Source organism: Homo sapiens, chromosome 22 (assembly GCF_000001405.40).
Source record: "Homo sapiens chromosome 22, GRCh38.p14 Primary Assembly".
In the NCBI taxonomy this organism is placed as follows: domain Eukaryota; kingdom Metazoa; phylum Chordata; class Mammalia; order Primates; family Hominidae; genus Homo; species Homo sapiens.
The window spans coordinates 35,266,871-35,288,737 of record NC_000022.11 but is presented as its reverse complement, the minus strand read 5'-3'; the positions used below and the strand labels follow the sequence as shown (position 1 = coordinate 35,288,737).

General features: G+C 40.9%; 1 protein-coding gene across 5 annotated transcripts in view; it reads right to left on the bottom strand.

Moving 5' to 3' along the window:
• HMGXB4 (HMG-box containing 4) overlaps nt 1–21,867 on the bottom strand; it is a 54,272-nt gene that overhangs the window by 7,070 nt on the left and 25,335 nt on the right. For all 5 annotated transcript variants that reach the window (NR_027780.2, XM_047441067.1, NM_001003681.3 and 2 more), the window contains 4 exons: nt 4,695–4,776; nt 2,677–2,741; nt 1,286–1,391; nt 331–500 (listed from right to left, as the gene is read on the bottom strand). Coding sequence is in view for 4 of the 5 variants with exons in the window: in XM_047441067.1 (XP_047297023.1) it covers nt 331–500; nt 1,286–1,391; nt 2,677–2,741; nt 4,695–4,776 (423 nt within the window). In the remaining variant the exon portion in view is untranslated. The remainder of the gene's footprint in view (nt 1–330; nt 501–1,285; nt 1,392–2,676; nt 2,742–4,694; nt 4,777–21,867) is intronic.

The following is a 21,867-nucleotide window of genomic DNA, read 5'->3' as shown; positions in this document are numbered from 1 at the left end:
TTAGCATTACAGGCGTGAGCCACTGCGCCCAGCCTCCACTGCATTTTAAAAAAATAAAAATAAGTTACAGGGTACTCCAATTTCTTTTTGTGCCATTGTTTCAATAGGATATCATTAGTGAAACTTTGAGAGCTAACAGGTAGACTGAATATCTCTATAGATATTTCTGTTATTATCATTATATCTTCTATGTTACGCCATCCTGAGAACCTGGCATAATTTAGCATAAAGTAGATGCTCAATACATGTATGTAAAATGAGTGAATGAATCAAAATTATATGGGAAACTATATGGGAAACTGTAGTCATGCTGCTGATAGTTGTATTCACCTCAGTTTCCTGCAGACGGTGTCCAATGAGGCTTAGGGACTCTCCCAACAGCTGAAGATGAGCAGCAACATCAATGGGCTCTGTCTCAGGGGCTTTGGCTGGTGAGGCTGGTAACAGCATGGTGGTGGGTGGGGACTTCTTCTGGGGTGACAGTACTCCTACAGAAGAGGCTGAGAACAGAGCAATGAGGCAGACAGGTAAAACTTGCCTACAGCCTTGAACAACACAAAGTTGTTCTTCCTGATTTTCCCTTTTTATGAATTATACCAGGCATTAGCAAAACTGTGGCCTGTGGGCTAAATTCAGTCTATGGTCTCTTGTTTTTTATGGCCTGTGAGTTAGGAATAGTTTTACATTCTTAAAGGGCTATAGAAAAACAAAGAATATGTGACAGAGAATGCGAGAATGCATACGGCACACAAGGCCTATAATATTTACTCTCTGGACCTTTTTTTTTTTGAGATGGAGTTTTGCTCTTGTTGCCCAGGCTGGAGTGCCATGGCACGATCTCGGCTCACCGCAACCTCCACCTCCCGGGTTCAAGCAATTCTCCTGCCTCAGCCTCTCTGGTAGCTGGGATTACAGGTATGCGCCACCACGCCCGGCTAATTTTGTATTTTCAGTAGAGACGGGGTTTCTCCATGTTGGTTAGGCTGGTGTCGAACTCCTGACCTCAGGTGATCCGCCCACCTTGGCCTCCCAAAGTGCTAGGATTACAGGCATGAGCCACTGCGCCTGGTCTACTCTCTGGACCTTTAAAGAAAAAGTTTGCTGACTTCTGATTTGCATTTTCTAAATTTGAACATCTCTTTTTGGTAGCTTGTAACATTCCCAGGTAATAATACCTGGGAATCAAGGTCCACTTCTAATACTGCAAGCTTTTTTCCCAGTTTCTTAGCAAGGAAGCAAAATTCACATGCTTTAGAGAAAAGCAGGGGCGGGATGTGGTCACTACCTTTGACTTTCATGGAACCTTCTGAGCTGGATGCTTTCCTTTTCACAGTTGTGGCTTCTGCTTTGTTCTGTTTGTGCTGCAGATACTGAGCTTTTTGCTTCCAAATCTGCAATCACATCAGTGAACATTAAATTAAATTAAGAAGGACAAAATGTAAAAGGAAAAGCAGTCATGAAAGAACAAAATGGAGAAAAGAAAGGCAATAGTAAGAGGCGGGCAGACAGAGGGTTAATGCTAACTTTTAAGCTGGGGGTCACCGAACTGACTTCAGACAGCTGACTACATTAATATCTTAGTAAAGGACTATAAACATTCCTCAATGCTAATGGTCAAATCTCGGCACTGATTTTTAGATCACTCTAAGTTGAAATGTAAAATCACAGATTAAACCTCTGGCTCAATATAATGTCTATGTGGTTCTACTAACCTGCTAGTTGGCAATACCAACACAATAGCAGAATAACAATAACAAGGAAAACAAAAACTAAGGATAATCTGGGTGAAGAATGGCTGTTCATCTAGATGACATCTTGCTCCTATATGACCTTCATATCATAAGTCTCAATGATTCAGATATGACTTTTTTTTTTTTTTTTTTTTTGAGATGGAGTTTTGTTCTTGTTGCCCAAAGCTGGAGTGCAATGGTGTGATCTTGGCTCACTGCAACCTCCGCCTCCGGGGTTCAAGTGATTCTCCTGCCTCAGCCTCGCGAGTAGCTGGGATTACGGGCATGCGCCACCATGCCTGGCTAATTTTTTGTATTTTTAGTAGAAATGGGGTTTCACCATGTTAGCCAGGCTTGTCTCGAACTCCTGACCTCAGGTGATCCACCGCCTCAGCCTCCCAAAGTGCTGGAACTACAGGCGTGAGCCACCGTGCCCAGCCCAGATATGACTGTTTATCAGTGTCTTACTACCTTCTTGATAGTAGAGTACATTATTTGGTAATGGTTGATGAGGATGATGACCTTGAACCTGGTTACCTAGTAATCACATTCTCATATTTTTATTGTTTGCAGTGACTGCTAAGTGGATAACTTTCCTCAGTTCTCAGACCATGACTGATTACTAGGTGTTTGCAGTAAAGGGCTCTGATTTTAGACTTTCTTTTAACACTTTAATTACTCCTCAACTTAGGTCATCTTTTGGCTCAAATGTAACACTGCTGGAAAAAACAGACCAGGTTAGAAAAGACAGCCTTGCTATAGCTAAATCCTCATGTACAGTGAACTGGCACTAACAGTGTTAATGTCCTCTGCTAAACCATTTTCTGTTGATTTGTAATTTTCTTCACTATTTTCAGTGCTGTCTGGCTGGCTAGTCTATGGAAGAATTACATATTTTGGAAGGCGAGAAGCACTGAAAAATATGTTTGTAAGAAAATGTACTTACCAGTTTGTCTTTTTCTGGTAATTGCTTCCACACCTCAGCCAGTTTTTTACTAAGTTCCCCAAAATCTGGCATAAAAGAGTAAAACACTCAATACAGTAAAGGGTTAGCTATTAACAAAATAGAAGATTGGTGAAAGCAAAAACTGGAAAAGGGTTTTGAAGCTCATATTTAAATGTTGCAAGATGCTTTCAGAAAACCAACCCCAATCCCATCACTCTTCTTTGATTTTTTTCTATAGGGAAGGGGATGTTTTGATGGTCAGGAGACAGTCTCAACTCGTAACCCATCTACTCCCTAGGGATTTATTCCTTAAGCATCTTTCTGGTGTCTTTTTTTGAGACTGAGTCTGGCTCTGTTGCTCAGGCTGGATTGCAGTGGTGTGATCATGGCTCACAGCAGCCTCAACCACCTGGGCTCAAACCACCCTCTCACCTCTGCCTCCCAAGTAGCGGGACCACAGGCGTGGGCTACCATGCCTAGCTAATTTTTTAAAATTTTTTTCTTTTTTCTTTTTTTTGAGACGGAGTCTCGCTCTGTCGCCCAGGCTGGAGTGAAGTGGCGTGATCTCAACTCACTGCAACCTCTGCCTCCTAGGTTCAAGTGATTCTCCTGCCTCAGCCTCCGGAGTAGCTGGGATCACAGGCGTGCACCACAATGCTTGGCTAATTTTTGTATTTTTAGTAGAGACGGGGTTTCACCATGTTGGCCAGGCTGGTCTCGAACTCCTGACCTCAGGTGATCCACCCACCTCGGCCTCCCAAAGTGTTGGGATTACAGGCGTGAGCCACCACGCCCAGCTATTTTTTAAAATTATTATTTGTAGAGATGAGGTCTCGTTATGTTGCCCAAGCTGCTCTCAAACTCCTGGGCTCCAGCAATTCTCCTGCTTCAGCCTCCCAAAGTGCTGAGATTATAGGCATGAGCCACTGCATCCTGCCTCTGGTGTCTTTAATTTGATCCCACAATACAAGGCCTATCAACTTAGGTTAAAAAATATGTGTAGAATTTGAAAAAAGATGTTAGGTTTTTACCAAATTTCTGAATGATTAGAACCAAAGAAGGATTTCCCTAGAGCAGCTCAGAAGCAATCCTCTAGATGTGTAATCTTACCCTTCCATTGTATAAGAGTTTTATGCTTTATAAAGCATATTCATGTGTGCCTAACACTGCAGTCTTTTGGAGTTGGTAGGGCAGCGATTTTACACATTAGGCAAATGAAATTTGTAGCGGTTAAGTGACATGTGTCCAGGATCTCTGGTATAGTGTTTTTCTTACCTCATTAACTTCTAATACAGAGACAAATACAGTCCCTGACTTATGATGGTTTGACTTTTGATTTTTCAACTTTATAAGGATGCAAAAGCAATATGCACTCAGTAAAAACTGTACTTCTAGTACCCATACAGCCATTCTGTTTTTCACTTTCAGTACAGTATTCAATACATTACATAAGATATTCAACACTTTATTATAAAACAGGCTTTGTGTTAAATGACTTTGCCCAAGTGTATGCAAATGTAAGTGTCTTGAGCACATTTAAGGTGGGCTCAGCTAAGCTGTGATGTTCTGTAGGCTAGGTGTATTAAATGCATTTTTGACTTACAGTATTTTCAATTTTCAATGGGTTTATCAGGATGTAACACTATCATAAGTTGAAGAGCATCTTTACAACAATATAATACAAGATATCTCATTATAACTTTACATCCAAGGGCAATTTAAGGAAAAGGCCAATTGTAGAATCTTGGAAATAAACAATTGTATATTTTTGTGCATTTATGTATGTGCTTTACAACATTTATTTTTACATAGTTTCCCACCTTATCCGTTTAAGAGATATGTATAGAAAGTTCATCTCTTTTACAGATGAGATAAACTAAGGCAAAATCTAAAGTGATTTGCAGAACTGAGGAAAGAAACAAGATTTATGCTCTAATGCTACAGGAAGAAGAAATTAATCGCACTGCTTCAAGATATAAATGGAAAGCAAAAGCGCTACAGATCAGTAATGTTCTTACCTATACCTGGATGGTCAGCCACAATGGTCACGCGATACTCTTTACAGAACACCTGGTAGGCCGACATGTTCTTCTTTTTTGGCTAATGCCGCATAGAAGATACAACAGGGTAAGACTTGATTAGAACCCAGGTTTAGTAACCCTGAATCCATAGTAATAAAATAGAAGGATACCTAAACTTTTTCATCAAGGGAAGAGTTCCAAACTACTAACCAGCTTTCCTAAACAGGATAATATATATATATATATTTTTTGAGATACAGTCTCACTCTGTCGCCCAGGCTGGAGTGCAGTGGCGCAATCTTGGCTCACTATAACTTCCGCCTCCTGGGTTCAAGCGATTCTCCTGCCTCAGCCTTCTGAGTAGCTGAGATTACAGGTGCCTGCCACCACACCCGGGTAATTTTTGTATTTTTAGTAGAGATGGGGTTTCACCATGTTGGCCAGGCTGGTCTCGAACTCCTGACCTCAGGCGATCTGCCCACCTCAGCCTCCCAAAGTGCTGGGATTACAGGCTTGAGCCACCATGCCTGGCCAGGAAAATACATTTTTAATCCATGTTACTTACCACTCAGAGATGAACATCAGTTTTAATTTTAGTAGGTAAAAACCACATGCTAAATTACTTGTAAAGACCTTCCTTCTCCCTATATACAATCCCATGTTACACATTTCTTTCAGAATTAAGTGCTAAGAGAATCTTTACCACTCCTGGGGTGTCTATTTTTCTCATCTTTGAAAATCTGAACCACATAATTTCCTTTTAAACTTTGGAGCCAGAAACCCAAAAGCCAAATCTATGTTCTTTTTGCTTCTCTGGTTTTGATTTCTAATCTTGTAATTTCCCTCATCCTGCTTTTATTGTCATTTGTAGCTTCTCATTATTTGATTGTTCACATTCTTTGGGTTCAAGGTGAGAAGTGAACAAATAACTGAAGACAATTCTTTGGTAGTCACTGTCAGATGCAACGCCTTCACTTCAACAAACAGCTCTGTACTACCTGAGGCATGTTTGTTCTTCACTATATTCTGACAATGCCAAAAGGAATATATGATTTTTGAGAAACAAAATCAAATTATTTTTAAAGTCAGTTCAACAAGAAATATATAAAACAGAAGATTATATTTCTATGCATTCCATTTCACAATTATACGTGGTCTAAGGGGAAAAAGTTAAGTTTTTCCTATCTAGAAAGAGACATGCAATTAGATTCATCTATCCAAATTTCTCATTGTGAGCATGGGAAAAAATAAAGTCAGAGAAACTGTAACTTGCTGAGGGTACCACCACTAAGCTAGTAATAATACCAGACCCTGGCAGTTATAACCACAACCCAGGTAGCCCTGACTTTCAGGGCCATGCATTATGGGCCCAAGAAAGAACATATGTTGCTCCCTTACAGAAAAAGTTAACTATTTAAAATAAAGAAAGAGTTATCACTTAATAATCTTAATCTAACAAACAAATATTTTCAGTATGGCTTTCCTCCAAAACTCATCTGGAAGCATCAAAATATGATTCTCCGTCTTTCATCTACTCCTAGTCCTTTTTGGCCCTACAGTTATTAAAATGACATGAATGTGGCCGGGTGGGGTAGCTCACACCTGTAATCCAGCACTTTGGGAGGCCAAGGCGGGCAGATCACGAGGTCATCCTGGCTAACACGGTGAAACCCCGTCTCTACTAAAAATATAAAAAATTAGCCGGGCATGGTGGTGGGCGCCTGTAGTCCCAGCTACTCGGGAGGCTGAGGCAGGAGAATGGTGTGAACCCGGGAGGTGGAGCTTGCAGTAAGCCGAGATTGCACCACTGCACTCCAGCCTGGGCGACAGAGCGAGACTCCGTTTCAACAACAACAAAAAATATGACATGAATGTATGGTGCTTTAAAAGCCCTTGGGGGCTTTTGTTTGCCTTAAGAGTCAGGTTTTGTGATGAAAACCAAACCAGCCACACAGTCCTGTCTCGTAACTTCAGAGTTGTATCTTGCTTTAAACAAAGCTCGATCGTGCACTCTGCCTAGCTGCCTTAGTTCTTCATGTTGTTCCCATAAAATAACGACCCTCAAAGGACAAAGACCGAGGCTGATGGCAATAAAAAGCTTATGTGATGACTCCAACTTTAATTCCAAAAGCGATTCTGAAATCATTTGATGAATAGAAACATTCCTAGAACACCTTCCAAGGTAACTGCTTTGAATGAGATTGCACTTATTTGGAGATAAAATTTGTGGTATGTTTGTTAAATTTCATACTAATATTTTAATAATGGCTTATCTATATGCCTGACATTTGCTAGAATACATGATGAAAGAAAAATTTGTGGAAGTCTACACACTGCCAAATCTTTCCCAACTGTACAATCAATCTCACTATTAAATACTGAGAACATTAGAAAGTATATATGCTTGAGAGATTTCACAGCTTGTTTGGCCATATTATAAAACTTACAAGGAAGGTGTTTAACAACGTTTTCTCAAACACAATACTGTAAAAGGTTAATGTTCCTATTCTATAAGGCTAACTATAGCTGTCACACTAATCACAATTCTTGGCCAATATACTATAGATCCAAATTCACATACTGAAGAAAAGGGTTTCCTTCATAACTCTTATAAAGGACTTTATTCGATTATGTAGAAACTAGATTAGCGTTTATTGAGTACCTGTGCTGGGTGGTGGTAGAGCAAGTAGTTAGGAGGATAAGCTTTTGAAGCCTAGATCTAATTCTAAGGAAGTTAAGCTGCATAAAATAGTGGAAAACACATGAAATTTACAGTTTAAAGACCCACAATCTTGTCTCAGCTTCACCATATACTAATTATTGGATCCTGAATAAAACACATGGGAAGTGGATAGCTTTTCTAATATGTGATAGTAAAAGTATTTCAATGGCAATGAAGGAAAAGCAGAGACTAAGATTTCAAAGGTAGTAGAAAAAAAGTAACCCATTAAAGTATTCTACTATTCATTTATTAATAATATTTACTGAGTATCCATATGTGCCAGACACTGGGAATACAGATAAGGATCAGATGCAGAATCTAACAAATGAGGCAGTTAAATATGTCATTCTAATAAAACACAGTGCTATTATAGGGAAAGCATTGGGTGCTATGGGAACATGTAGTAGGAGTGCCTTCCCAAGTTAGGGAGTCAAAGAAAGCCTTCTGGAGGAAGTGACATTTAATCTAAACCAGAGAGTTGGGTAGATGTAGGCAGATGAAGGGTGGTTAAGAGTGTTCTAGGCAGAGGAAACAACATGGGGGCACATTCACCAAAGAAGAGAGAGGTAAGAGATGATGTTAGAAAGGCAGGCAGAGCCCATCAACTGAGGCCATGTAACCCATATTAAAGTGCATGGATTCTGTCCGGAAGATGCCATTCAAGTATTTTAAGCAGGAAGTTATATAGTCAGGGTTACACTTAAGGACTATGGAGAACAAACTGGAGAAGAACAAGAGCAAAGGCAGGAAGACCAATCAGGAGGCTGCTGCAGGAGTGCGGGGAAGGGATGAATGATGATGGCCCACAATCAAGACAGTGGGTTGGGAGAAAAGCAAATAAACTGAGAAGGAGGAAGATGTGACAGGATTTATTAGAGATAGTGTGGCAAAATGGCTTTGAAGACCAGCGAATCTGCATTAGAATCCTGACCACGCTATTTACTCGTTACGTGAATTGCTTCATTTTCCTGACATTTCGTTTCCCTACAAAACTTGGATAATACCATTTAACTCAAAGGTGGGAATTACTCCATTGGTGTGTGGCACTTCAGTAGGTACTCAATGTTATTTTTGTGGTAAGCAGAATTATAAGATGGCCCCCAAGACCCCTGCTCCTGGGTTTGCATTCCCGTAAGGGTGGGCAAGACATGGTCATATTACGTTATATGGCAAGGGGATTTTGCAGATGCACTTAAGGTCTCTAGTGAGTTGACTCTGAGTTAGTCAAAAGGGAGATTATCCTGACTGGGCCTGACCATAGCAGGTGAGCACAAAAAAGAGACAACAAGCCCAGCAAGCTATTTTGAAGACATCAACTGATTCTAAAGTTTTTATGAAGAGGCCACAGACCCAGAATGGACAAGGCAGTATTGATGAAGAACAAAGCTGAAGGACTGACACTACCCTACTTCAATATTACTATTAAGCTACAATAACCAAGACAGTGTGGCATTAGCGAAAGAATACACAAATACATCAATGGAACAGAACAGAGGGCCCAGAAACAAATCTACCTAAATAAAGTCAACGAATCTTTGACAAAGGAGCAAGGACAATACAATGAAGAAAAGATAGTATTTTCAACAAATGATGCTGGGACAATTGGATATCCACATGCCAAAAAAAAAAAAAAAAAAAAAAGGAATCTAGACACAGACCTCACCCCCTTCACAAATTAACTCAAAATAAGTCTCAGACCTAAATGTAAAGTACAAAACTATAAAACTCCCAGACAGTAACACAGGAGATGATCTTGAGCTTGGCAATTACTTTTCAGAAACAGAAACCAAAGACATAATCCATGGAAGAAGGAACTGATAAACTGGGGTTCATTAAAATTAAAAACTGCTCTGCAAAAGACACTTAAAAAAATAAAAAGACACCGGGCGCAGTGGCTCACGCCTGTAATCCCAGCACTTTGGGAGGCCGAGGTGGGCGGATCATCTGAGGTCGGGAGTTCGAGACCAACATGGAGAAACCCTGTCTCTACTAAAAATACAAAATTAGCCGGGTGTGGTGGCACATGCCTGTAATTGCAGCTACTCGGGAGGCTGAGGCAGGAGAATTGCTTGAAAACCCAGGAGACAGAGGTTGCGGTGAGCCGAGATTGTGCCATTGCACTCCAGCTTAGACAACAAGAGTGAAACTCCGTCTCAAAAAAAAAAAAAAAAAAAAAAAAAAAAAAAGACAATCCATAGACTGTGAGAAAATATTTACAAGGGGCATAGCTGATTAAGAACTATTATCCAAAAATCTCTCTCTCTTTTCTTTTAAGACAAGATCTCACTCTGTCATGCAGGCTGGAGTGCAGTGGTGCGATCATAGCTCACTACAGTCTTGAATTCCTGGATTCAACTGTTTCCCTGGCTTCAGCCTCCTGAGTAGTTAAGACTACGAGTGCGTGCCACCATGCCTGGCTAATTTTTTTTTTTTTTTTTTTTGTAGAGATGCAGTCTTGCTATGCTGCCACAGTGAGACTCCAACTTTACAAAAAATTAAAAAATTAGCTGGGTGTGGTGGTGCATGCTTGTAGCCCCAGCTACTCAGGAGGCCGAGGTGGGATAATCAATTGAGCCCAGGAGTTTGAGGCTGTAGTGAGCTAGGATTGCACCTCTGCACTCCAGCCTGGGTGACACAGTGAGACCCCATCTTAAAAAAAAATAATATTAAAAAAAAATACATAAAATTTAAAAGCCCCAGACCCCAGGTGGTGGTTTGGAAGGGGTTTAATGACATTTCTTGGGTAGACTCATTCCTAAGAATATTCAGTCACTCATTCTTTCAGGCAAGATATATTGAAGGTATTGGGAACTCAATGGCAAATGAGACAGGCCAAGATCCTTGTACGAATGGGGCTGAGATCCCATGGTACAGCCACTTTGGAAAACAGTTTGGTGGTTCTTACAAAACTAAACATTCTTAACATATAATCCATCAGCTGTGCTCCTTGGTATTTACCCAAAGGAGTTGAAAACTGATGTCCACACAAAAACCTGCACTTGGAAGTTTATAGCAGCTTCATTCATAATTGCCAAAACTTGACAGCAACCAAGACGTCTTACAATCAGTGAATGAATAAATTGTAGTAGTATATCTAGACAATGGAATATTATTCAGTGCTAACAGGAAAAAAAGAAAGGGTCGAGCCATGGAAAGACATGGAGGAAATTTAAGGACATATTACTAAGTGCAAGAAACCAATCTGAAAAGGCCAGATACTGTATGATTCCAACTATGTGGCATTCTGGAAAAGGCAAAACTATGGAGACAATAAAAAGGTCAGTGGCTGCCAGGGAGGTAATGAATAGGTGGACCACAGGATTTTTAGGGCAGTGAAAATACTCTGCCTGAGACTGTGATGGCGGATACGTGTCATGATACATTTGTCCAAACCCACAGAATGGACAATACCAATGTAAGAGGGAGCCCCAATGTAAACTATGGACTCTGGGTGATAATGATGTGTCAATGTAGGTTCATCAGTTGTAACAAATGTACTAGTCTGGTGGGGGATGGTGACAGTGTGGAAGGCTGTGCATGTGTGGGACGGGGGATATATGGGTTACCTCTGTACTTTCCTCTCAATTTTGCTAACCTAAAGCTGCTGCTGCAAAAAAATAAAATCTTAAAAGAGTTTCCTGAACAAATTTCACATGAATAGAAACCACATTGGCTGGGCGCAGTGGCTCACACCTGTAATCCCAGCACTTTGGGAGGCCAAGGCGGGCAGATCACCTGAGGTCAGCAGTTCAAGACAGCCTGGCCAATATGGTGAAACCCCATCTCTTCTAAAAACAGAAAAATTAGCCAGGCATGGTGGCATGTGCCTGTAGTCCCAGCTACTGGGGAGGCTGAGGCATGAGAATCACTTGAACCTGGAAGGCGGAGGTTGCAGTGAGCTAAGATGGTGCCATTGCCCTCCAGCCTGGGCAACATGAGTAAAAGTGTCTCAAAACAAAAACATAAACAAAAACAAAACAAAGAAAACCCTTGCATCGAACCAACATTAAGAAACACACAAATAAAATGAGACAAGAAGGCATGACAGTCTCTGGCTGGTCTCGAATTTGAAGAAAACAAATTGCTATGAGTTCTACAACTATAAGAGACTGAAAGCTGCCAACAACTTGAATGAGCTTGAGCCTCGGATGAGAACCTGGCTCTACTGGACGCCTTGATTTCAGTCTTGCGAGACCCTGAGCAGAGAACCGAGTTGAGTCCTCCAGAAGGACTTTGATCTACACAACTGTGAGACAGTAAATGGATGTTGTTTTAAATTGCTAAGCTTGTGATAATTTTTTATGCCACAAGAGAAAACTAATATGAATTATTTTCTATTCCTTATACATTTTCCAAAATAGAAGTTGTGGCACCCAAAAAGGCAATATAAGCTTTTTAAAAAATAAAAATTGTGGTGAAGGAGGATAGGGTGAAATCATTTGACCTTTATCAGACAAATAGCAGCAAGACCTTTATTTTAAAGTTTTTCATTGAAATAGCAAACCAAACTAAAAACACTATTTTAGTATTCTTCTGGTGAAGCCAGTCCTGTTTAGAGATGGTAAAGAAGTATGTTGTGGGTGCTGGATCTCCTTTACTAATTTAGTATCAGCTTTTTATCTCCTAATGTCTTAAGTGTTCTAAGGATCCTCTCTTTCAAATCCTCCTTTATTGGGCCTAAGATACAATGGAGAGGCACCACACGCACACCCAAACACATACACACCCTCGCCCATGAGTTCATGTAAAGGGTACTCGTGGCCATTTGGCGGGGTGTGGGTTAATTATTCTGGGTGTTCCACCTGCCACTCATTCCACTCTAAGAACCTATACCTTGGAGTGAGTGGGACAGGAGATATAAATCTCTTCTCCCCAGATAGTTTCTGTGTCTCTCTCAGTGTGGGCAACTCGTTACACAAGTGTGATTCTGACGTTTGTAGCTAAGGTAATTTAAAAAATGAAATAAAATCATGGTTCCTGAACAAGGCCAATGACTTCATCTGGTGGTGGAGAGAAAAATCTAGCTGCACTAGAATGACATTCTGTTGGACTGAGACTCTGTCAGCCTTCAATGTAGAGCCTTTCTAAAGGATTTTCAAGGGAAACTCTGACTACTTACACTGTTCGCCTCACGTGCTGACTTAAAACCTAACCACTGTGTAAGATGCAACTCTAGTCTGTGGACCTAAAGTTCAGATTTCAAACTTAAGGGTTAAAAATTTTCCATGGCACATTTTTCTAAATTAAAAATATACAAATAGAGGATGATCTCTATAAATACAAAACATTTCCATGAGATTCCAAATGCAAGGCCAGTAATTCCACTCTAAATTTTCTCATGAAAGAAAACATACAGGATGGCAAGATTACAGCTGGGATACACAGACCCTTCTTTAATTAATAAAATGTTAATATTTTTAAAACTTGGATACTTTATTATTAGTAGCAAATTACTTGCAACAAGTCCACTTAACTACATGTGACTCATGATGTTACCATTTTACTACCAGGATCTCCTTTTAAATATTTGATGAGGTATGTCACAGTATCAAGAATATTCAAAAAGTAACTTCTTTTTAAGCAACAGGGTCTTGCTGTGTCACCCAGGATGGAGTGCAGTGGCTCATTACGACTCACTGAAGCCTTGAACAGGTTTAAGTGATCCTCCTGCCTTGGCCTCCCAAAACTCTGGGATTACAGGTGTGTGCCACTGCTCCTGGCCCAAAATGCAACTTGTTAATGCTCTTTATAAAGTGTCCTGCTTAACTTTTTTGGGTCATAGAACTGTAAGAACCTGATGAAAATCTCATAACTCTAGTTTAAGACCCTGTTTTAAAGAATACAATATTTGGGAGTTAAAGCACAATACTGCTTATGATTCTAAAAAATGAAATTTGGTGGCTGGGCATGGTAGCTCATGCCTGTAATCCCAGCACTTTGGGAGGCCGAGGCAGGTGGATCACCTGAGGTTAGGGGTTCAAGACCAGCCTGGCCAAGGTGGTGAAACCCTGTTTCCACTAAAAAGACAAAAATTAGCTGGGTGTGGTGGTGGGCACCTGTAATTCCAGCTACCTGGGAGGGTGAGGCAGGAGAATCACTTAAACCCGGGAGGCAGAGGTTGTAGTGAGCTGAGATCGCACCATTGTACTACAGCCTGGGCGACAAGAGCGAAAATCCGTCTCAAAAAAAAAAAAAAAAAAAAAAAAAAGAAATTTGGTGATGTTAATACTACGTACGAGCCACTGTTGTAAGACCTTTACCCATAGAAATTCCCTTAAACCTCATAACAACCCTATGAAGTAAGTTCCATCATTCCTGCCAGTGTAAAAATGAAGAAACTGACATCCAGACTCACAGCTCCACGGAGTGGCAGGGCCACTAAACACAGGCAGCCTGGCTTTGGAGCCTGGACTTGTAACCATTTTACCACCTGATGCTCTTCTGAACTAACTTGACTGAGATCCCCAAATCTGATCTGGCTAAAAGGAAAACCAGCAGATAAGTAAGGTTTCTACACCAAAGTTTTTATTTTAACTACCTTGAATGAAAATCTTTCTACATGTACTCTATACTTCTGCTATCTGTCACACCACATCAATGAATATAATTTAACCACTTTCTGTATATTGAAATGAGCGTGGCTCTTGTAGTCAGAAAAACCTGGGTTCTAATTCCTGTTCCGCCATGAACAGGTATGTCCCGGGGCATGCTATTTCGTTTATTTAAGCTTATTTCTGTGAAACTGAGATGACAACACCTACACCTCATTGGGTTCTTGTGAAAATTCAGTGATACATAGTAGATAAAAAACTAGTGTAGTGCCTAGAACATACGAGGAACTCTACATGTACAGCTGTTAGGATTGTGCTTTGCCAATTCCTACTCAGTTCTCCTGCCCCTTCCTAGAAGGCCAGCCTGGCAGCAATTCTTCCTGCCTTCTACATACCTTTCGCTGACTTTGCTTCAGTCATATCAACTTCCTGGGTTTCTCTGAACATCCTGTGCCCTCTGGCGTCTCAGGGACTTCACAGATATTTTCCATTCCATGACTGAGGTGCCTACTCCTATTTTCCACCTGATAATTCCTACTTGGCCTTAAGATTTGGTTCATATGACAGCTCTCACAGGAAGCCAGCCATTCCGGGCTTTCCTTGCACTCTCTCAGTACTCCGCGCCCATGCCTCTGCTGAAGTTCAACACACCAAGTCCTTTCCAACCTTTTACTAGACTGAAAGCTCTTTGAGAGCAGACACTGTATCTTCATCTTTGTGTCCTTACTGCCTGGGAGGATTTAAGAGCAGAGTAAATATGTACTATTGAATAGCAAAGTCTCAGAACTGCGCATGAAGAGGCCAAGTGTGTATTCATGTGTGGCACCTCATCTGATTTCCACAACATCCTTGTAAGTGAAGTAGGCTGGGTGCTAATTCCCCATTTTAAGCATAAAGGAACAGAGGCAGAGAGGTCACAGGACTCATCTCACTGGTCCTTCTTTTAGTGACGATGAAGCTCTCCAATGAGCTGTAGGTTTTATAACATCTGCTTTTGCTCCTTAGAGGCCCTGTTTTCTTTCTGGTTCTTAACTATTTTCCAAATATGTGATGTAATCACAGATTTGGTTCCTAAAGGTGGGAGGTTATATTAAGGTAGGGTATTATATGCATAAAACATAGTCTCCTTGCTTAGTCTAATATGTGAAATGAGTGGCTGAAAACAAAATTTTAAAAAGATGTTTTCAAATATATTTTGTGCTTTTGAAGAACTTAAGACGTAAGCGAAAGTAACTGTAACAGCTGACATTTACTAAGCCATGCCCTGTGCTAAGCATGTTACATGCACCACCTAATTTAATCTAACCCCAATTTACAAATGAGCAGAAGTGAGAAAGCAATCTCAGGAGAACAGACCTAGTAAGTGGCAGACCAGAGTAAGAATCCAAGTCTGCTGAATTTGAGTCAAAGATCTATCATGGCACGGAGTAACCATGTCTTAAAGTTGTGGAAAGGCATGTGGCATAGTGGAAAGATTATAGCTTCTTCCTCCGTCAGTGGGGCTAATGATAATTATTAATCAAGAGTGGTAACATTCGGAAAATGCCTAGGAGAGCCTGGCACTCAATAGATGGTAGTGACTAATTTCTACCATTTATTGTTGCTGTTACTTAGCCTCAGGTTTGCCAGAGAGAGAACTAATGTAACAGCATCACAAGTCTAGTTATGTTTCAGACTTTTGTTTATTAGATCAACAATGTCTGGGTGTGCCAGGCATTAGGCTACCTGGCCCTGCCTTAGGTTTAGAGAAAATGTGCATATTTTGGAAACACACAGATAACTAAAGGCATGTCTCTGAAATGGCAACATTACGGGATATTATTTATTTATTTTCTTGAGACACAGTCTCGCTGTTGCCCAGGCTGGAGGGCAGTGGCGTGATCTTGGCTCACTGCAACCTCCGCCTCCCGGGTTCAAGCGATTCTCCTGCCTCAGCCTCCTGAGTAGCTGGGATTACAGGCACGCGCCACCACGCCTGGCTAATTTTTGTACTTTTAGTAGAGATGGGGTTTCACCAAGTTGGTCAGGCTAGTCTTGAACTCCTGACCTCATGATCCACCCACCTTGGCCTCCCAAAGTGCTGGATTACAGGTGTGAGCCACCACGCCTGGCTATTATTTTAAGTGACAAAAAAATGGGCTTTTATTTGGGGTAAAACCAAAAGTAAGGTATATTTAAAATGTAACTGTATCCTGCTCCTCCTATATAAATGAAAAGCTTCCACTGCAATGAGATGATCTTTAGTGGGAAATCATCAAGATATTACCATATAATTTCTCTACTCTTCCTTAGAATGCAGGACTCAAAACCAGTAAAACCAACCAACCAACCAAACAAAAACCACCTCCAAAACAACTGAAAGGCTACTTTTCACCCAGGAAATAGTGTAATTTCCCTTCTTTGTGTCAGTCAAAATTCTCAAGTAAGAGCCCACCGCTGCTGCGTTCACTTCCACACCGCTCACTCTTTCCTCAACCCCTGATCCAGCTCCATTCCTACCTACTGCACTTGAACTCCTTGGCCTCTCTAGCATGAGATTGTTCTACTCTTGAAACTGTTTTTCTCCTCCCTTCTGTGTTTCTCCTCCAACATAGCCGCCCCCTCTTCCTTCTCTTATATAAATGCCCCTGTATAAGTGTTCTACAAAATTCTGCTCTGAGCTCAATTTCCTCTTATCCATTTACCTATTTCATTTATCACACATGAACACCCAATTTCTCACCCAAGTTCCAGCCAAATTCTGGGTCTTGAACTTCCATTGCCACTGAGATGATTATAATATTTATTGAATGCTCACTAATGTGCTGAGCATTGTGCAAAGACAAAGTTCTCCAATGTTCTTGGTTCACAGTGCTTATGTGGGTTTTCAATGTGGTAGTTGCTTTTTACCTCTAGAGCACACACACTTGGCTTTGAAAAGATATGGCACTACTGAAAAGAATGTAACATACATTGTTGAAACTGGGAATTACTTTGAACTAGTAGTTCGTAAGGTATCTGAGAGATGTCAAGTATTGTTGTTTGTCTCAAAATGTATTTAAAATATCAAGCGTTGTCCTGGTGAGTCTGATGTGGCGTCCCAGAGCGCCTTGGCACACCGAGGCCCTGAACACTTCCGCATGTATTGCCTCATTTAATCCTCACAACCCTAGGAAGCAAGTCTGTTATCCTCAACTTAGAGATGGAGTTGTTCTGTAACTTATCCAACATCACATTGTTTGTAAGTGGGTGAATAGAGCCAGGAATTGAACTCAGGTGGGTTCCACAGCCCACGCTCTCAACGACTTAGCTATGTTGAATCTCCCGATCTCAATTAACTTATCTTCTTCTCCCAAACCAGCTATTCTTCTCACCTTCTCTATTTTTATTAGAGTCCTGGTCCTAGAATCTAAGGTAGAAGGGGTGCACAGAGGCCTTTGGCATTTCTACCAGTAGTTTCTCCAGTCTCTGCTCACTGTAGGTTGAAGAAACACTACTCCTAAATCATTCTTTTCTATCTCTGGGTGGACTTTGTCCCTGACTTTTTATTTATTTTTTTTGAGACAGGGTCTTGTCATATTGCCCAGCTGGTTGTGAACTCCTGGGTTCAAGCAATACTCCTGCCTCACCCTCCTAAGTAGCTGAAACTCAGGTGCTTGCCACCATGCCTGGCTAATTAAAAAAAAAAAAATTAAGAGGTAGAGTCTTGCTGTATCACCTAGGTTGGTCTCAAACTCTTGGGCTTGAGTGATCCCACCTCAGCCTCCCAAGTAGCTGGGATTACAGGTGCATGCCATTGCGCCTGCCTGTCCCTGACTTTTATACAGTTCTTTTTTACAGTGAAACAAAACCCAGGAAAATATATTTTTAAAAAGCTTTATAGGAATTTTTTATGCACAAATCAGGTTTAAAAACCACAGTATATACACTATAAATATTTGTTGGAGAAATAAATGATTAAATTCAGATTATGACTACTTCAGATTTTTTGGACAGCCACAATCAAAGATATTAACTCTTAATAAGGTTTTTGCTATAAATTAAAATTCATTTTTCACTAGCAACTGCTAGCCACATGGGCAAATTATAGATAAGTCCTTAACTTTGAAGAGCTTACTATTTTTCCAACGTTATCTAGGTTCAAAGCTGAAGAGATATTTCTTAGACTCATTTATGTTTCTGGCTTCCCAGATACAAGCCCACTAGGTCAGCGGTCCTCAACCTTTTTGGCACCGGGTACCGGTTTCGTGGAAAACAATTTTTCCATGGACCTGGGGCAGGGGTAGGGGCAGAGTTCGGGATAATTCAAGTGCATTCATTACATTATGCCTTTTATTTCTATTAGTATTACATTGTAACATATAATGAAATAATTATACAACTCACCATCATGTAGAATCAGTGGGAGCCCTGAGCTTATTTTCTTCCAACTAGATGGTCCCATCTGGGGGTGATGGGAGACAGTGACAGATCATCGGGCATTAGATTCTCATAAGGAACCTGCTGGGGTTTGTGCTCCTATGAGAATCTAATGCCGCTGCTAATCTGACAGGAGGTGGAGCTCAGGCAGTAATGTGAGCGACAGGGAGTGGCTGTAAATAGAGATGAAGCTTCAATGGCTTGCCCGCCACTCAACTCCTGCTATGTGGCTGGTTCCCCACAGGCCGCGGACGGCTACTGGTCTGTGGTCTGGGGACTGGGGACCCCTGCTGTAGGTAGATCTTGTCAATTTTTCCTTCAGAGCCTCTCTTGAATCAACCTCTTCAATTTTATTTCTCTCAAGCCTTTTTTTTTTCTTCTTCTCTTTAAAAGAGACAGGGTCTTGCTCTGTCAACCAGGTTAGAGTGCAGTGGCACAATCACAACTCACAGAAGCTTTGAACTCCTGGGTTCAACTGATCCTCCCACTTCAGCCTCAGGAGTAGCTGGGACTCCAGTCATGCGTCACCACACCTGGATCTTGCTAGATTGCCCAGGCCAGCCTTGAACTCTTGGACTCAAGCGATCCTCCTGTCTCTTAGATTTTCATTACTAACCTTCTGGACTATAGTAACTCCCTTGGTTATTCGTCTCTCCCTACTCTAATCCACCTTGTACAACTCTATCATTTTATTCTTATCATTTAGATCATAAATAAACCTTGCTTATAAACCCCAAACTGCCTGCTGCCAAGTCCTTTACTTTGGCATTTAAGATTCTCTACAATTTGCTCCCAACCTACCTTTTCAGTACTATGTTTTCATCCACATATTCATTCGACATATACTTACAAAGTGCTTATTAAGGACATTGAAGAGTTGAAGATACTATAAGGTGGTAAAGGAGCTTACATTCTGCCCCAAGCAGACAGTGCTGCTAAGTTAAAGAAATTGGGTGTAGCCCCTTCTATGAATTCTATTTTGTTTGTTTGTTTTGAGACAGTCTCACACTGTCACCCAGGCTGGAGTACAGTGGCACAATCTCGGCTCACTGCAGCCTCTGCCTCCCAAGTTCAAGCAATTCTCCTGCCTCTGCCTCCAGAGCAGCTGAGATTACAGGCGCATGCCACCACACCCAGATAATTTTTGTATTTTTAGTAGAAATGGGGGTTTCACCATGTTGGCCAGGCTGGTCTCCAACTCCTGACCTCAAGTGATCTACCTGCCTCTGCTTCCCAAACTGCTGGGATTACAGGTGTGAGCCACTGCACCCAGCTCCTTCTATGAATTCTAAGCATCAGTCTTCCCTTATAGTCTTTAATAAGGGAAACAGAATATGTACAAAGATAATGCCAATATAAGGAAGAAAATAAGTGCAGTAAGACAGCAAGGTAATATGGGAGTTTAGACGTTAATTCTAATGAGGGGTGTACAGAATGTCTTAGAAGAGGTGGCATTTGATTAGGTCTTGCAAAGAGGGCAGAGCTTCAATATGTAAGAAGAGGAAGGTCACTGTAAAAAATGAGCAAAGGAATAGAGGTAAGAATGTATGGGAAACAAGTCTGATTTCCATACAGTGTATGTTTAATAGACTAATAAGAGGTAAAGCTGAAAAGGGAGGATTAGGCTAAATCCAGACACTTAATGAATGTTTGGCTAAGGTTTCAACTTACCTGATATTTATTCCTTTGACAAGTATTTACTGACTGTCTACAATAGGCCAGATGGCAGGTTATACACTAGGGATAGCAAGACAGACGTGGTCCTGGTCCTCTTGGAGCTTAGAGTCTACCAAAAAAGCAGTAAGAATCCACTGAAGATGCAGAACACAGGACTGCCGTCATCAAGGTGCTACTTAAGATTAAGATTACTCTAGCATCAATGTGTGAGATTAACTGCACGGTAGAATAAAAAAAAAAGCTACTTATTACAGTAAGTGTAGAAGGGAATGAGGCCTAAGACAGTGGCAATGGTAATGGAGGAGCTAAAGGCTTGAAAGATATTAAGGAGGAAGACTATCAAGCTTAATATTTGTGCAGAAATAGTTGGAGGGGAGTAGGGAAGGGGGAAATGTAAAAGTGAACGATAAGACTGGAAAAAATCAGAACAGTTGTTGGCTCTGGGGTTGGGGATGGATTGGAGAGGGGTACAAGAGAGCTCTCTGGGATGATGGTAATGTCTGTATCTTGATAGAGGTTTGATCACACAGGTGTGTGCATCTATCAAAACTCATCACATACTCAATATCTATGCATTTCACCCTATGTAAATTTTATCTTTATGGTTTTGAGACTGAGTCTCACGCTGTCGCGCAGGCTGGACTGCAGTGGCGTGATCTTGGCTCACTGCAGCACCTGCCTCCTGGGCTCAAGCGATTCTCCTGCCTCAGCCTCCCTATATGTAAATTTCATATTTACAAATTCCTGAAAACAAATATTGAACTCAGGTTAATGATATGCAAACTGAAGTGTTTAGGGGTGAAATGTATGATACCTGCAATTTACTTTGAGATACATTAAGAAAGATAACATGGACTGGTGGATGAAAGGATGGGCAGGTATATGATAAAGCAAAAAGAAAATATTAACTGTAAACTCCTGGTGGAGGAGATACAGTTTTCATTACAGAATTCTTTCAATCCTTTTTGTCTGAAAAATTTCATAATAAAATGTTGAGAAAAGCGATAAGCATTCAGTTTTGAGTTTGGGTTGACTGGCGGGATACTGGGAATACAGAAGGTGTAGCTAGGTCATGTCAATTAGTGACATAAGGGTTTGAGGTACCCAAGGCATTCAAGTAGAAATATTTAGCAGGCAGCTGGAATTGCACAAGTAGAGTTCAGTTATAGTTATTTTACTCTGCTGCTTCCTGAACATCTCTCTGCCTCCATGCGTCCACTTCCACTGAAACCTTCTCCTTCTTCAAGCTTTCCCTGACCCTGTGCTCCGACATTCAGCACTGGATGATTAGTCCATGGCATTATCACGTCACTAGACTGGAAATTCTTAGGATAAACAGAATCTTATAAAGAACACATAGTGTTTATTTCATAAAGCAATTTTCCAAATAAACAACTGAATAAAACCTGACTTAGTATTGGAATATCCAGGTCTTTATGTTCACACTGATTCCTGGCTCAGAGGTACAGCTTTGTGGTTTTTTTGAGATAAACAGATGTGTGTGTGTATATATATATAATATATTATTTTATATATATTATATATACACACACACATACTGATAAACAGATATAGATCTACAGATAGATATAAACAGATAGATATAAGCAGACTTTCTTAAAAGGCACCCTTTATAGTGGAGAAATAACTTCCACCTCAGAGATCAAACTAAATTCCCATTCCTAGATTCTTTTCTTTTTTCTTTTGAGACAGGGAGCCTCACTCTGCTGTCCAGGCTGAAGTTGCAGTGGCAAGATTATAGCTCACTGTAGCCTCCACCTCTTGGGCTTAAGCAATCCTCTCACCTCAATCTCCTGAGTAG